At 37.2% G+C, this 16519-nt stretch overlaps 1 protein-coding gene across 28 annotated transcripts in view, besides 9 other annotated features; it reads left to right on the top strand.

Annotated features, from left to right (window-relative positions):
• Nucleotides 1-16519, top strand: part of LMBR1 (limb development membrane protein 1) — a 224172-nt gene that overhangs the window by 100072 nt on the left and 107581 nt on the right. For 4 of the 28 annotated variants that reach the window (NM_001350958.2, NM_001350956.2, NM_001350955.2 and 1 more), the window contains one exon: nt 13380-13457. The exons of the other annotated variants lie outside the window; for them this stretch is intronic. The gene's annotated coding sequence lies outside the window, so the exon portion shown is untranslated. The remainder of the gene's footprint in view (nt 1-13379; nt 13458-16519) is intronic. 28 annotated transcript variants of the gene reach the window in all.
• Nucleotides 33-2261: an enhancer, noted in NCBI's record as "2.2 kb fragment used in the ZRS/pre-ZRS transgene". NCBI's record gives its function as "activates a minimal Hsp68 promoter in the posterior margin of developing limb buds in transgenic mice" and the evidence as "EXISTENCE:transgenic organism evidence [ECO:0001131][PMID:29543231]".
• Nucleotides 33-2404: a biological region, named in NCBI's record as "ZPA regulatory sequence". NCBI's record gives its function as "regulatory_interactions: SHH".
• Nucleotides 78-2245: an enhancer, noted in NCBI's record as "2.1 kb fragment used in the ZRS/pZRS Hsp68-LacZ transgene". NCBI's record gives its function as "activates a minimal Hsp68 promoter in the posterior margin of developing limb buds in transgenic mice" and the evidence as "EXISTENCE:transgenic organism evidence [ECO:0001131][PMID:22495965]".
• Nucleotide 330: a transcriptional cis regulatory region, noted in NCBI's record as "position of the TPT-PS associated G>C point mutation in the ZRS/pre-ZRS transgene, where the mutant allele exhibits ectopic ZRS expression in developing limb bud". NCBI's record gives its function as "important for restricted expression of an Hsp68-LacZ reporter gene in the posterior margin of developing limb buds in transgenic mice" and the evidence as "EXISTENCE:transgenic organism evidence [ECO:0001131][PMID:29543231]".
• Nucleotides 1081-2404: an enhancer, noted in NCBI's record as "1324 bp sequence that was swapped with the mouse sequence via CRISPR/Cas9 editing in ZRS knockin mice". NCBI's record gives its function as "controls Shh gene expression and limb bud development when it replaces the mouse ZRS in knockin mice" and the evidence as "EXISTENCE:transgenic organism evidence [ECO:0001131][PMID:27768887]".
• Nucleotides 1237-2010: a conserved region, noted in NCBI's record as "conserved region; highly conserved ZRS region". NCBI's record gives the evidence for it as "COORDINATES:sequence alignment evidence [ECO:0000200][PMID:12837695]".
• Nucleotides 1237-2024: an enhancer, noted in NCBI's record as "VISTA enhancer hs2496". NCBI's record gives its function as "enhancer in: limb[5/5]" and the evidence as "EXISTENCE:transgenic organism evidence [ECO:0001131][PMID:17130149, PMID:27768887]".
• Nucleotides 8539-8608: an enhancer, noted in NCBI's record as "active region_26913". NCBI's record gives its function as "activates an Ori minimal core promoter by ATAC-STARR-seq in GM12878 lymphoblastoid cells {active_cell/tissue: GM12878}" and the evidence as "EXISTENCE:reporter gene assay evidence [ECO:0000049][PMID:35858748]".
• Nucleotides 8909-8958: an enhancer, noted in NCBI's record as "active region_26912". NCBI's record gives its function as "activates an Ori minimal core promoter by ATAC-STARR-seq in GM12878 lymphoblastoid cells {active_cell/tissue: GM12878}" and the evidence as "EXISTENCE:reporter gene assay evidence [ECO:0000049][PMID:35858748]".

Below are 16519 nucleotides of genomic sequence, written 5' to 3'. Positions count from 1 at the left end.
TTTGGCGAATAAGTACATATATTTATGTATATTCCTTTAAAGCTGCTTGCTCATCGATTACATTTGACACATATAGTTGCTGAAGTGATACTGAAGAGAGGCTAGAAACATTTCTAATGGGTAGATTCAGCGCACTAATTTGAGCAATGACAAACTTGTAATATGGTTAAGTAAAATTTCCTTTTTTTTTTTTTTTCCTGTGGCCACCCTCCTGGTGCTGTTTTACTGTGTCTAAGTCTGGTGTATCCCTAAATGGCATATGGCCCCACTCTACTCCCATGGATTCCCCTGGGCAATCGATGTTCAAACAGCTTCTTGCATATTGTGCCGAGATGCGGAAATTGGCCACTGGCCATGGGCGGATGCAGAGCTTGAATTGAAAATCAAATTAAGCAGAATTCTCTACTTAGTTTTTAATTAAACCACTATGTTAATTCAAACAGGACATATTAGGCCTGGGGGGTTGACTATGTCCTTTTAAGGGCCTTCAATAGCTTTGCTTCTCTCTTCTTACCGTGGCAGCGGTGTGTGTTTCTATTTTATTAGGACCATCTCCTTGCTATTCCCTTACTTTATAATTCTGAAGTGTAAGAGCATAGAAATGGTTTTGATAAAGTAAAAGTTTTTTTTTAGTAAGCAGCTAACTTTTATCTTGGAATTTAGACTTATTATTAGCAGTTAAATGTTTACCAAATTTAGATTATTTTGCTGTCACCTATGTGTATTGAGCTTTAGGTATGTTCATAGGTATTTGAAAGTGACTCCGTTTACATCTTAATTTTTCAACTGATAAAAAGGTTCCATTTGGTGATTTTTGTTTTGTTTTGCAGTAAGCCTGCTTTTTCTGCAGTATGTGGCTCTTAGGGCTCAGGGAACATCTTAAGGCAGCCATCACTGCTGTGCTTATCATACCTCAGATTGGCTGTATGATTTATCTCCCTCCTCCACTCCAGAAAAGACCTCCAGGTTATCTGGATTAATATCAGAGATGTTTTCTGATTTTGTAAGGAACTCTGGAGGTATAACCTCTGGCCAGTGTTTAAATGGTAGTTAGGCATATATTTGTTTTATATTATATCTTAACATCTTATTTTGAATAAAAATGTCAGGAGGAAAAAAAATTCAGCAACTTAATGAAAGTGGGAGAAAATATCTCCATATGATTGTTATGTAAAATTTATGACAGATTAATTCATAAACCCAAGATTTTTCTGGGAGTAAATTTCTATTGTACTTAACTTTAATGCCTATGTTTGATTTGAAGTCATAGCATAAAAGGTAACATAAGCAACATCCTGACCAATTATCCAAACCATCCAGACATCCCTGAATGGCCAGAGCGTAGCACACGGTCTGTAGGATTAAGAGGTTAACTCCTATAACTTCAAACAAAGTGCCTGATAATAAAAGCAAAAAGTACAAAATTTTAGGTAACTTCCTTTCTTAATTAATTGGACTGACCAGGTGGAAGCGAAGAGTTCTGTGCTGGTGCTTGGAATGTCTATAAAGCTGAGCAACATGACAGCACAATAGAGGAGGAACAAAGATTTTTTTAATATGTTTCTATCCTGTGTCACAGTTTGAAATTGTCCTGGTTTATGTCCCTTTTGGCAAACTTACATAAAAGTGACCTTGTACTGTATTTTATGACCAGATGACTTTTTCCCCCCAGTGGCTAATTTGTATCAGGCCTCCATCTTAAAGAGACACAGAGTGAGTAGGAAGTCCAGCCTCTGTCTCCACGAGCTTTCATTGCATTCTTTCATTATTTTTGCTCGTTTTTTGCCACTGATGATCCATAAATTGTTGGAAATGAGTGATTAAGGAAGTGCTGCTTAGTGTTAGTGGCACATGCGCATATTTGGCCTGGTTCTGGTGGGTGAGAGGAAATCACAGACAAAAGGGAAGCCCCTGCTGGGAACCCTGCAAGGAAATTTAACTTGGGTCATGTTTTGATCTTAGTGTTTATTACAGAAAATGAAGCCATATCTCACTAACTATTGTTACGTGTTAATTTGATTTTCCCAACACCTTCAAGAAAAAAAATCATAGAGCAATTTATTAATAGAAATCCTCTACAATCCCCCAATTGAGAGCACTAGTTTTTACCTTAGAAATGGTTATGGATCAGAATGATTATTTTGAAAATACTCTATTCTGATAATGCTGTGATACTTCAGCTTCCTTTTGGAATTGTTTTACTGTAAAGGTGTGGTTATAACCATGTAAAGTGAGCATTTGAAACATCAAATCTGGGCGTATGGGAACTCAGAAAGAAATAGGAAAGTATTATTTTGAGGAAAAGAGTAAATACATTTATTTCATTTAAAAATCATTAGAGGTTATAAAAATTTTGAATTGAAAATCATTTAGTTCAGGAAATGACATTAATTTTGTCACTGTTCTTAATACAGTTGGATCTAGGAGGGCACTAAATTATGGCTTTATAGTATCTGTTACTGTTAAGTAACAGCTTTTTTTAAAAACATCACTCAGTTTCCATATACACTGTAATGGTATACTTTGAATTGAACCCTATATAGTATGTTCATCTTTGCCTCTCAGTATTGAAAAATGATAAATTTCTATACTTAAAGGCTAGATTGTCTCTTTATTTGCATAACAGTGGCAAAAAATGTGAACTTTGGAATTCAGAATACCTGGACTTCAATCTTCACTCTTCTTACTGACTGTGACTTAGGGCATATTTCATTGTGTCCACATTTATAAAATGAGTCTAACAGTACCTGTCTACCAGGGTTGCTGAGGGATTTAGTAGCCTCACCTAAAAGGTTGGTAAAGTACCCAAGACACATTTTAAATAGCAGTTATTATTAGGTGCTTAAATGCACCAACTATGTTAAAGCTGATGATGAAACATCAGGAGAACTTGTGTAGGATTACTTTTTATATCTAACAGCAAAGTGACATGAAAAATTACATTGGTATTGACATATTCAGCTTTTATTTTATTTTTTGAAATAGGATCTGTTTTAGAACAGTATAGGTTGTAAAAAAATAGGTATTTGTTTAATAGATAACTAAACTTCAAACCCTTTTATATGATGATTAAATTACTAACTAATGTCTCATAATGTTTGATAGTTCAGGCCTCTGTTTAAATGAAGAAAAGCTTTGGCAGAGAGGAAACAGAAAGTTACCAAGTACAGATTTTAAAGTAATTATACTTTAAATTAAACTGGCTGTAATACTACTCCAATACTCATGAAACAGTTTTATAGAAATAGTCATTGTTAATTAGAGTATCTTTTCTAAAAGTTTTTGGGGGGAATAGAAAACTACTCACCCTTGGTTGGAATAAACTTTATTTGAAAGGAAAATTAAATGTCAGATTTAGTGCTACTAGAGAGCTTCTTAAGTCATTAGGATACCACAGGCCTGCAGGACAAGAGCTCACCAGAGAGGCTAGGGGTTGAATTGTTACAATCTTAGATTTATTTGGCACTTAAGCTCATATTTATTCATGTATAAAATCATTTATTCAGTGGGTCACAATGTTGATCTTTGATCTATGAAACGTTTGTCAATATATAACTGAACCTTGGTACATTAATTTACAGTCCATTTATTTGTCATTTAGTATACCAGAAATAGAAGTTGTGTATTTATACACATCAAAGGCAGTAAGATTGTTTGATAGTTTGACGTTAGGTAATATTTTAGCCTGTGATAAATCTACTTTTCTTTAAAACTTAAGTCACTAACATGATACGACTTAAATATTTATTGGTTTGCACATTTTACGTTAAAGAAAGGAAATTCTCATCGAGAAAGACAAGGTTGTATTGTTCTGAAGTGACTGAATTCTAAAGCAACCGAAACATTAAAAAATATGTATGTGAATGTGTCTTCTTTTAGGGATTAAAAATAAGATCAGCAGGCAAAAACGGAAAAAATAAGGACACACTAACAGTAGAAAAAGTTAGGATTCAATATATTGAAATGATCAGTTTTATGGAAAACATTTATTCTATTCGTAGCACAGAGGAAGAAGAAATTTTAAGTTGTTTTATAATGCTAGATTTATTTATTTATTTATTTTTAGAGACAGAGTCCTGCTCTGTCACCCAGGCTGGAGTGCAATGGCGAGATCTTGGCTCGCTGCACCTCCATCTCCCGGGTTCAAGTGATTCTCCTGCCTCAGCCTTCCAAGTAGCTGGGATTACAGGTGCCCACCACCACGCCCGGCTAATTTTTGTATTTTTAATAGAGACGAGGTTTCACCATGTTGGCCAAGCTGCCCTTGAACTCCTGACCTCAGGTGATCCACCTGCCTTGGCCACCCAAAGTGCTGGGATTACAGGCGTGAGCCATTGTGCCCAGCCAATTTATACCAAATGATTCTCAGATCTCCTAGAAATTACAGAAGGTTTTCTGCAGTTTCATTCTGTAAATATACCTCGTACTATTTCTTATTTTTTTAAATAAAAATCAATATTATATATTTATGAGTATTTTTTTTTTCTTTAAAACAAGATATGTTGAGAGCCTGTGAATGTGGGGTTTGGTGAGTACGCCAGGTATTAGTAGAGGGCAGGGGAGAATGCTCATGATTTCAGTGCTTGACTCAGCTGAACTGGACAAGCCATAGGCGTGGTTTTGAGCTGTTTTCTATTTTAAAAAATTCCTAGTCATAGATTGCTTAACTAATGCCTATAATGGATAGTTGGTTAAGTATCATAAATAAAAGGTACACTGATGTTTAAATACAAGGTAACGAAGAGCATACTAATAGTAACAATACAGATAGTAAAGTTCTGTCCAAGTTAATCTTCACTAGATCCTGTATTTGGCTGATCAAAACTGTTTTTTTTCTTTTAAAGAAATGGGGTTTTGCTATGTTGCTCAGGCTGGTCTCCAACTCCTGGCCTCAAGCAGTCCGCCCACCTTGACTTCCCAAAATGCTGGGATTCCAGGCTTGAGCTACTGTACCCGGCCTTATGAAAACTTTCGTATAGCACATCAGGATGGCCCTAAAACCTTAAAATTAATGCCACACAGAGGAAATGGAGTACTAGGCCAGGTATGGTGGCTCACACCTATAATCCCAGCACTTTGGGAGGCCAAGGCAGGTGGATTACCTGAGGTCAGTTTGAGACCAGCCTGGGCAACATGGTGAAACACTGTCTCTACTAAAAATATAAAAATTAGCCAGGTGTGGTGGTGGGCACCTGTAATCCCAGCTACTCAGGAGGCTGAGGCAGGAGAATCGCTCGAACCTGGGAGGTGGAGGTTGCAGTGAGCCAAGATCGTGCTGTTGCACTCCAGCCTGGGCGACAGAGCGAGACTCCGTCTCTAAAAAATAAAAGAAAAAAAGATCCAGTTATATCTAGTTTGACTTTATTGAAAATAGACAACTTAGACATGGAATGTTACTTACTGAGAAATATTTATCACTTATTGGGAAATAACTCCTTGAAATGTTTTCTTATTTCAGCATGTAGAAATAACATGGAAATTATAAAAAATAAATCAGGGTTTTAGAAGTTCAGCAGATTAGAGTTTCAAAAATATTGTTAAATTGTCATGCAAAGAGAAATTTTGGTCTTTGTATTTTCTACATCAGGCTTTATTTGAGCCTGATTATATATGTTTGTTGTCACCTCATGAGTTTTTTTTACATAGTTGGTTTAAAGGAAGTTAAACAGCACATCCTATTGTAAAATAGGACCTTGTCAAAAATATAACTATATAACAAGCAGCCTGTATTATTAAGTACATAGATAAGTTCTCAAGAAAGCCAGAAAAATCTCTGAGTATTTGAAGAACAACAAACAGGAACAACAAAACCCCAAGAGTAAGTGAATAAGCCAGGCTATGGTTTCCTCAGCAGGGGAGAGAGGGTGGTCACAAGGTAACGTGGGACCTTTAGTTTGGGAAAAATGAGGTTAGAGGCACATAGAGACTAGGAGTCAGAACTGAGGCTCAGTAAGAAGCGCTCAGGCAAAGGGCAGATTTTAAAGCATGCGCACACCTTGCCCATTGATAGAGGAAGACTGTCAGCCTTAGCTCTGGGCAGAAGAAAGTCTCCCCTGCGAGCTCATCTGTAGGCGCTGACTTCCCAAGAGTTTGCGGCTAATATTACTATAGATACCTGTATTGTTGGAAAATCCTAAGCCAAGAAAATAGCATTAAAGTTGATTAAAAATGTTATGTATAATTTAATCATTTTAATCAAATATATATTAGGTAAATTTTGATTAGAAAGGGTATATATATAAAGATATAATTAAGGCTGGTTTTAGAAAGTTGATTTATTATAATTTAAGATTCATAATATATATGTTTGACTTGGTCCTACTTAACCATGTCACATGCTGTTTAATTTTCTTTAAATTAATTGTGTGAGAAAACTCAGGACTTGATAACAAACATTATATAAGCAGGCCCAAACAAAACCTGATTTTGTTTTCTGCTAGCTTTTCTACATTTTTACACTTCAACTAAACTCTTAGTAATTTGATAGTTGGTTTCACTCTTCAAGTGTTATCATTCCTTCAAAGTTGGGATGAATAATATAGTCTATTCTATTTTGGCTACTTTGTCCTTGAGTTTTGCAAAGATCTAATATTTTCGTCTACCTGTAGCTAATTTTGTGAGGTGGTTAAAAAGAGAAAATCTAAGTTATTTTCTCTCTGTATTACTATTCAGTTATTCTAGAGCAATTTATACAATAACGTTACCCTTACCTATGATTTCTTAATATTCTTACCTATTATTAAACGTATTTTTGAACTTCTTGACTATAAGCTTGTAGCACTGGGAATCACTGCTAACCTTTTTCTTCTTTTTTCCCCTCCCTCCTTCCTTCCTTCCCTCCTTCCCTTCCCTTCCTCCTTCCTCCTTCCTCCTTCCTCCTTCTCTTCCCTTCCTCCTTCCTTCCCTTCCCTTCCCTACCTCCTTCCTTTCCTCCCTCCTTCCTTCCTTCCTTCCCTCCCGGCCTCATTCCTTCTTTCCCTCCTTCACAGCCTCCCTCCTTCCCTCCCTCCCTGCCTCCCATCTATACCTTTCCTTGGACATTTTCCCATAGATTTGATCCCATTTATTTGCTGTCTTTTAGGAACTTCTCAATGTCACTAGTCTGCTGGTGCTTCTGTCCTCTGGCATAATTAAATCATTCAGTTAATATTTATTGGTGGCTTATTGCATGCTAGGTACTATTGTTAGTGTTAGGGACATGTAGATTGGTGATTTATTGTATATTTCTCTCATCTTTTATGCTAAAAAGTGTGTGTTGTGAGACCCATCATCTTGAACTAATGACTCCTCTTCTACCTGTTAGCTTTACTGACCTTTTATCTGGAACATAGTAGTAGTTCAGTTCTTTATTAACTTTTTTGCATTCTTTGGCCTTGTTTCCACCTCTGGGAAGATTCAGATTGTCTCTGCTTGAATCTGCTCAGATTTATTCTACAGGTATGGAGCCCAAGTCTTTTCTTCTGTCCTTTGCTCTGTAGCAAACAGGGCAAAGCTTTGTAGTTGTGTCAGTCTCTCCTGACCTTAAGGTTCTGTTGAAGGAAGATTTTTTTCCAAGGCAGCGTTCAGAAACTCCTTCTCAAGGTTGCAAGATGATTCCTATAAGTTTGCGAGCCACTGCTGAATACATCCGTATGTCAGGATTCTTAGTGTTTACCTCTCCTGGGTCTTATTTGGCTTGCGTGAAGCATATTACACTGATGGTTTTGGTTACTTTTACTGTTTAGCTTGCCTTCTATTGCATTTTCGTTAATATTCTAATTTTTACAATTTTATAGAACTCCAGTTAACCCCAAATCATATTGGGTTTTGTTTGTTTGTTTGTTTTTGTGTTTTTTGAGACAGAGTCTTGCTCTGTCATCCAGGCTGGAGTGCAGTGGTGCAATCTTGGCTCACTGTAGCCTCTGCCTCCCGGGCTCAAGTGATTCTCCTGCCTCAGCCTCCCAAGTAGCTGGGATTACAGGTGTATGCCACCGTGCCTGGCCCCAAATCATGTTTTGTATCATTCCAAAGTACCTGTCAACATTTGTACTTGGATTATTGTTTTACTGTAATTAGTGTGTACTTATATTTTATGTCCTTCTTACTTTAACAGTTCATCTTGTGTACATATATTTTTCTGGTGCCGGGAAAAATTGTCCAAGACTTGGAACTGGGCAAAAGAGATGCAGATGTCTGTTAGTGGAGTCCTGGATGGGCAAAAGAGATGCAGGTGTCTGTTAATGGAGTCCTGGGCATTGTGTGGTAGATCCTGGGGATTATCAGGTCCTGGAGGAGTATGTGCCTTTGACTGACTTTCCACTGCCTAGGCCCTTTTACATCTGTGTAGAGTTAGAGTTACCTTGGAGGAAGTAGAGAGCAATGCAGATGAATTTTATCTAATAGAGACACAATTGACTTCCCCCGTATAAAAGATAACCCTAACATTTCATTTTATTTTCCCATAGGATATTATGCAGTTTCACAGATTGATTTTAGGATTTTTGATTGTCTGCGCTCCTCAAGTTCTCCTTTGACCTGGCTTTAAGAGAATTAAAACCATGTGGCTCTGCTACTGAAGGACATAAGGGACAGACAGAAGCAGGGTGCTGAGAAGGGAGCTGCAGTCAGCAGGCAGTGTAGCATTTGCTTTGGGCTGAAGTAGTGAACGTGGGTACTGGTGATGTGAGAGTTCATGTTAATGCTCATAAAGGTCCACCAACATACAAGACAGCTCCCAGAATTAGTCCTGCCTGCCTCCGTCCACTCTCTAGATCTATTCACTAAATTCAGTATCATCAGAGGCAGGAGATGATAGGGAGAACAAGCAGGACAAGAGTTCTTAAATACGGAGATGAACAGAGAATTCAAAGACGAACAAACATTTGAGAAAAGCCAACACCGTGAGAGGCCCCAAACTCGGTGTATTACTCAAAGAGTTAGTAGACAAAAAATATTTCAAGGAGACTTTTAATATATTATCTAGGGGATTTTCTTTAACAGAAAAACTTAAGGATATCTAGTCCTCAGTATTGCCAGAAATGCATGCTGCTGAGTCATTCTACACCATTCAGAGCTGGTTACCACTTTTAGAAGCAAGCTAGTATTATAGTGTGATGCTGTAAAAAAAAAAAAAACAGAAAAAAACCCAAAATAACAAAAAATAAACAAAATACAACAAGAAGAGTGATAATTACGAAGGTATTATCTGACAAAAAAGACTTTCATTTCTGAAGCAAATTCTACACATACACTTTGATGATGAAGTTGATGAGCTGACATGGCCTGATCTCTTACACCATTGAAGGAGCTGTCTTCTTTCTTTCCTGTTATGGGTAAGAGCAGTGTCTAGAAGGGATAGGAATGTTTTCATGCACTACCTGTACATGAGTCCTAATGAAACTGCATAGCGGCAAATAAAACTAGAAAGTCAAGCTCAGCTGAATTTAAAAATAGATTATTCAAATAAAAAAATTTAACAAGGATGCTGGGTACAAGGATTAATATATTTAAAAAAATCAATAAATACCAGCAACAAACTGAAAATCAATTATAATAGCAAGACAGCCTAAGGTATGTTGAAATAAATCTAACGAATGATATTTAAAGCCTTTATGGAAACAATAATGGAAACAAAAAATCTTATTGAAAGATGTTGGTTGGACACAGTGGCTCATGCCTATAATCCCAGCACTTTGGGAGGCTGAGGTGGGAGAATCGCAGGAGGCCAGGAGTTCGAGACTAGCCTGGGCAACATAGCGAGGCCCTGTCTCTACAAAATACAAAATAAAAAAAATTAACTGAGCCTGGTTGGTGCATGCCTGTAGTCCCAGCTTCTCGGGAGGCAAAGGTGGGAGGATTGCTTGAGCCCAGGAGTTTGAAGCTGCAGTGAGCCATGATTGTACCACTGCACTTCACTTTTGGTGATAAAGGAAGACCCTGTCTCAAAAAAAGAAAGATGTTGAAGAAAACCTAAATAAATTGATAGATATTCTGTGTTCATAATTTTTAGAGTTTTTGCAATTCTAATAAAAATTCTGCAAAGTTTTCTTATAGAATGTGACAAGCAGGTAGTAAAAATTTAATGGAAGTGCAGAAAGCCAAGAATAGCCGGAGCAATTTTGAAGAACTAGGTGATGGAACTTCCTCTATCAAATATTACAAGATAGGCAAAGAAACTGAATAGACATCCAAAGTCTATCCAAAGAAGATACACAAATGGCCAATAAGCACATAAAAAGATTATCACCATCACTAATCACTAGGGAAATGCAGATCAAAACTACAATGAGGCTAGGCCCAGTGGCTCATTCCTGTAATCCCTCCATTTTGGGAAGCTGAGGCAGGAGGATCACTTGAGGCCAAGAGTTTGAGACCAGCCCGGCCAATATGGCAAAACCCTGTCTCTAGTAAAAATACAAAAATTAGCTGGGCATGGTGGCGTGTGCCTGTAATCCCAGCTACTTGGGTAGCTGAGGCGGGAGAATCGCTTGAACCTGGGAGGTGGAGGTTTCAGGGAGCCGAGATTGTACCACTGCACTCCAGCCTGGATGACAAAGTGAGACCCTGTTTCAAAAACAAACAAACAAACAAACAAACAAAACTGCAATGAGATACCTCCTAGTAGGATGACTACTAGCCAAACCCAGAAAACAGCAAGCATTGGTAAGGATGTGGAGGAATTGGGAATATTGTGCATTGTTGGTGGAAAGGTAAAACGGAAGAGCTGGTGTGGAAAACAATATGACGATTTGTTAAAAAATTAAAAATGGAATTACCATCTGATCCAGCAATTCCACTTCTGGATATACATCTAAAAGAATTGAAGGCAGGAACTCCAACACATACATGTACACCCATGTTCATAGCAGCATTATTCACAATACCTAAATGGTGGAAGCAATCCAACTGTGTATGATGAATAATGAGTAAACCACACGTGATATATCCATACAATGAAGTATTATTCAGCCCTAAAGAAGGAAATTATGACACATGCTACAACGTGGATGAACCTTGCTAAGTTAAACAGTCCAGTCACAAAAGGACAAATTCTATATGATTCTCCTTAAATGAGATACCTATAGCATTGTCAAAGTTGTAGAAACAGAAAGTAGCATAGTGGTTGCCAGGGATTGTGTATTGGGGGGGAAGTTATTGTTTAATGGGTACAGAGTTTCAGTTGGTGAATATGAAAAGCATTCTGGAGATGGGTGGTGGTGATGGTACCATAACAGTGTGAATGTAGTAATGCCACTGAACTGTACACTTAAAAATGGTTACGATGGTGAACTTTATGTTATGCATATTTCACCACAATTTTAAAAAACGCAAATGGATGATAAACATGGCAGTGTTTTGTGGTTACCTGTGGGTAGGTTGGTGCAGAAGGTTGACTTGGTTGGGAGGATGGTCATGGTAATGTTTGTTCTAGTTGGGTAGTATATCCATGGGTATTTAATAGACATGTAAAGCTAAATAGTAAACTTTTATTTTAAAATAGAAAGGGAAAAGGGTGATTTGTATCCCTTGATGATCAGCTCACATTAGCTAAACAGAGGCTGATACATAAAACCAAATGCCAACTTGCTGATTTTCAATGGAAAAATATATAAATATATTAATAAAATACTAATATGTATGTATGCATCTGCACTGATACCTGCCCACCCAAAGTAGCTATTATTTATTGAGAGATGCAGGAAATGTGGAAACCTGGGAGAGAAGGGCCCAAAGGAGCTAACGGGGGACTAGTCTGGAGTGAGAGCAGGAAGCCGGAAGCTTTCATGTACATCTTTCCTATTTTGTTCACTGTCATAAAGGATCTTCTGTGGTGTTTTGGAATTTCTAGTGCTTTTTGTGTAAAGTATTATTTGCCACATAAGCAATATGATGTTATTACCTAAATTGTCACGTGGCATTGCTTTTTATTATATTTTAAAACTTAATATCTTTTATGTTTCACTGTAATAATAAGTAATAATGCTAATGATCTTTCTTTTGTTGTATCTTTGTTGGAGTTTGTGCCTGAGTGTTTCATGAAATGAAAGTGGATATTGGCTAAGATGGTCTTCTGCATTACAGGTTTCTTACAAGACTGAGCATTTGACCTTAGTATGAGCTTGCTTTTATGGAACTGAAAACTAACGTTCCAGTAAAAGAAGCTTTTAGGTCCTTTACTAAAATCATAGGTTTGTCTTGTTTCTTTTAAGCATTCTCCCCCACTTCCTCATTTCCATGTGGTGTTGTCTTTTGTGACTTATTTCTGTCACTGGGGAGGTGGGGGTGAAGGGTGGAGGTGAAGGGTAGGGGTGGAAAGCACAGGGCCCTGAGGGCTGACAGACCTGAATTGAAAGTGAATTCTGGCATGCAGGCAAATTATTTCACTTTTGAGTGTGAACTTTGTTATGTGTAATCAAATTTACCTTTTAATATATTGCAAAGATTCAGTAAGCACGTATAAAGCAACTAGTAGGAGCTCTGCAAGTGTTAGTTCTCATTTCTTCTTTTCTATGAATTTTGAACTGAAGAATTATTAGAACAAAAATAGAAGAAAAGAGCCTTACTAGTGAACCAGTGAATTATTTGATGTGATTTGGTGTACTAAGAAATATTTTTTTCCCAAATTCAGAATTATGTGTAAAAATTTTGATATCTAGTTACCATAGTCTTTTTATAATTCAGTTCTTTCATTTACATATTGAAAACATGTATTAATTCATTTGTAATCTGGAGGATTTTTATTTGTCTAATATCATGGGGAATTTCTGCCTACAAATTTTAATGCAATGGAGATGTTAATTCAATGAACTGGCAATGTTGGTGTTTTTATTTTAGCTTACCCCAAGCACTTTCTTTTTGTCCAGCTTTAACAGCTTGAGCATCTTATAGTTTTAATTTTTTCATCTTGTATAGACCACATTAAGTATATTTGTGTATAAAATAGACTGCATAGCATATTAATATTAAAAAACATTTCACTGTTTTACTATAGACCTTAACAAAGCTTTTCACAAAGCCGTTTTCTCTGACGTGAGACCAAAGCTTTTTCGTGTATGCTCTTAATGATTACTTGGGAGCAAAGGGAGAAATGTTTGACACTCTCTAGAGATGCTTATTTGTAGTTTTTTCATGGCTTAAAATAAAATAATTAATACCTGCTTTTATTTTCTGTTCTTTATTAGTACTTCTACCGATCTTCCCCTGATGACTGTGTATATGTTTGGTGCAATCTTGATGCCATGCTGAGCAAACCTTATTTTAATGTTACTGAGAGACCCTTTTTGTTAAGTGAAAACAATAGCTTGATATTTATTTTAAATGTTCTGTGAATGTAGAAGTTTTCCCAGGCTTCCTAATGGGTAGAGACATAGTGTATGAAGTGGTTTTTACATCCCTTACAGGAGGGCAAGATGTCCAGGCAAAACCTTGTTTAAATGTTCATCACCATAGAAACATGACAGCTTCTCCATAGAGCTTTTGTAAGTACATTGTAATTTTCACTTCATTGATGTGAATTAAATGTATAATTGACCAGCACAAAAATTCCAAGAAGCAATTATATCATAACCATTTGAGTGTAGTAGACTATCCATTTAGTTCCCATTTAAATCTAAAAGAAATCTGTGTGTCTACAAGTGTTTAGTCTTTACTAATCTATTTCATCGAATTTAACCTTTTATAATATTGAGGTTGTTGTAATTTCAAAAAATGCTGGTATGAAATAACGTGATTAATTCTATAGCTTACTCAAAACAACTCATGTTTCATTGGCAGAAAAGTACTTAATTTCAGTGGTGTTTCTAATATACTGACTGCTTATTATACTGCAATTTTAATCAGAAGGAAGGAGTTTCGCTAAAGTAATTTAAACTTAACGGGTTTTTTTGTGGGGGATGGCAGGATAAGTGTTCATACTGGGAAATAAAAATATTGTGAAGTTCATGAAATCCTGGTGATATATGACATAATCTAAGCATTCAAAACTAGGTGAAGGAAGTACAGTTATTGATTAATAAATAGAAGTTCTTATAGTCCTGTGATCTTGTATTCAGGAGACTTTTTTCACTAGAGGAACAATGAAGACCTTCTTCCTTGTTTACAGTGTTTTGCCACTTTGTTGTTTGAAGCGCATTTTAATAAGTTATTCTGACATCTGGTACATCTTTTAGCTCAGTATATGCAAGAATGGAGTTGATAGGAAGCTTCCCCTCGGGGCTTTCTAGCTCCTGATTCTGACCCTTAATGGAAAAATGAGCAGTCGGCATATTTTTTGCTTATATGCTGTGCTGCTGGTGATTAATGGTGGTGATAAAAGTGCTCACAATGCTTTTCATTACTTTGTAGTCAGAATGGCATCCAAAAGTCTAACAATCTCACACATGGCATGCCATAAAGGCTGTGTTCTTGAAGCTTGGTAATATTTTTATGATCTCAAGAAAGATAGTGATAACAGCTTATAGATTTTGAGTACTTGTATATTTACTAGTGGAAGCTGAATTAACAAATGAAATTTCTGACTATAGTCTCATCATCTCTCTTCTCTCTAGCTCAAAGTTTTTGAAGGTAAAAAATTTGCCACCTTGCATTTAATGAACATATTTATCTTTTTAAAAGGTTTATGTAAAGCTCACGCATGTGGTATTTAATTGATTTTAAGTTGGACAGGTTTTGTCTCATTTAATCACAGAAAGAAAATAAAATTAACAAAAGGGAAAACTTAACTATCCTAGCCTCCCAGTGGATTAAGTCAGAATAACAGCTCTTTCTTACTATATCAGTTATCTTAATATTTCATAGGACAAGCATAATCATATTAAATAATTTTGATGGCTTGTACCGTGGCAGCCTTTTCTATTAGTATTGTTGATTTACTCTTGTAATGTAGATCGATAACTAGAAATGAGCAGATTTCTTTTTGTGAGTTATTTACTGACTTTCAAAAGAAATATTGACTAATTTGAAATAACTTTTTGAACAATTTATATGATTGACTACAGAGAGTTCTTTTGGCTAAATGTTTCTGAATGGACTGCTTAAACATGTGAGTATGTATTTCAGACAGTTCTTGTTATTATTTGTGTACCTATAATAGAAAAATCATCGTCTTGGATGGGTATGGTGGCAGTAGGAAAAGAAGGGATGAATTTGAGTTGTAATTACACAGTAGAATCAGAAGCACTTGGTGTTTGACTGGACCGAGGCTCAGGGTGTATGGTGGGGGTAGGGTATGGGGTTCAGCAGGAAAGGTAGGTGACAAGGGTGTTTCCAAAGTATCTGGCATAAACAACAAAGTGGGTAATGATGTCATGTTTTCAGGTATGTGATATTGAAGGAGGAGCAGAGATAGAGAATAAAATGATGAGTTTGGTCTTAGAATTAAGTTTAAGGTACTGGTGAGATGTCTAATGAAAGACGGCAGTTGGTGTATATGGTTCTTGGCCACAGCAGTAAGATTTGGACTAAAGATATAAACTTCAGAGTTGTTGGCTATTGGAAGAGGCAAGATCACTTAGGTAAAAACTGAGCAGTATATCTGTGAACCGTCTTCATCAGAATCAACTGAGTCACCACTTTGTGGTTGATGCTCAGGAACTGGCAGGCCCCTTGGTAATTATGATGCAGGTTGACATTTGAGAAGCACTGATATGACATGTGAGAAGATGAACATCTGAGATTGGGCCACAGGAGAAAAGGGATTCAAGGTATTTTCTTTTATAGAACGAAAGAATTAGAAATGGAAACAGTAGCTAAGGTGTAGAGGAGGGAAGGTGAGGGACTCACAGACCCCACTCAGCTGTGTCCTACTGAGGTAGAGGAAAGTCAATTGTAGTTGGAAGGAAGTAGAGGATGAGATTATAGATAAAAAAGAAAGGAAAACATTTTAAAAAATGTTGTGAAAGGCCAGGCGTGGTGACTGATGCCTGTAATCCCAGCACTTTGGGAGGCTGAGGTGGGCAGATCATGAGGTCAGGAGATCGAGACCATCCTGGTTAACACCGTGAAACCCCATCTCTACTAAAAATACAGAGATAATATTAGCTGGGCGTGGTGGCTGGCGCCTGTAGTCCCAACTACTCAGGAGGCTGAGGCGGGAGAGTGGCGTGAACCCAGGAAGCGGAGCTTGCGGTGAGCCGAGATCGTGCCACTGCGCTCCAGCCTGGGCGACAGGCGAGATTCCATCTCAAAACCAAAAAAAAAAAAAAAAGTTGTGAAAATTGCTAAAGTCAGCCAGAGATCAGTATAAAGATTGCCAAGTAGCATTGAAGGCCCACTTTGGAATGTCGTAGTAAAACTTTCTCATGATTGTATAATACAAAGTTTTTTTGACAGGGCTGGGAATCAAGGAGTAGGCGCCAGGGGATTGTTGAAGCTGGCCTGGTGGAAGCCAAAGGTTCAGGGAGCTCCAGAATATTGTTGATACTGGCTCATCATCAAAATTCACTAGTGAACCATGGGGTTGAGGCCAGGGAAGAGAAGACTGGTTGGAAGGATTAGGAGGGAACAAGGGAGTGAAGGTTCTGAGGATGTGGAGGCAGAGCTA

Source organism: Homo sapiens, chromosome 7 (assembly GCF_000001405.40).
Source record: "Homo sapiens chromosome 7, GRCh38.p14 Primary Assembly".
Lineage (NCBI taxonomy): Eukaryota > Metazoa > Chordata > Mammalia > Primates > Hominidae > Homo > Homo sapiens.
The sequence above is the reverse complement of the archived record's forward strand: the minus strand, read 5'-3'. Positions and strand labels throughout refer to the sequence as shown.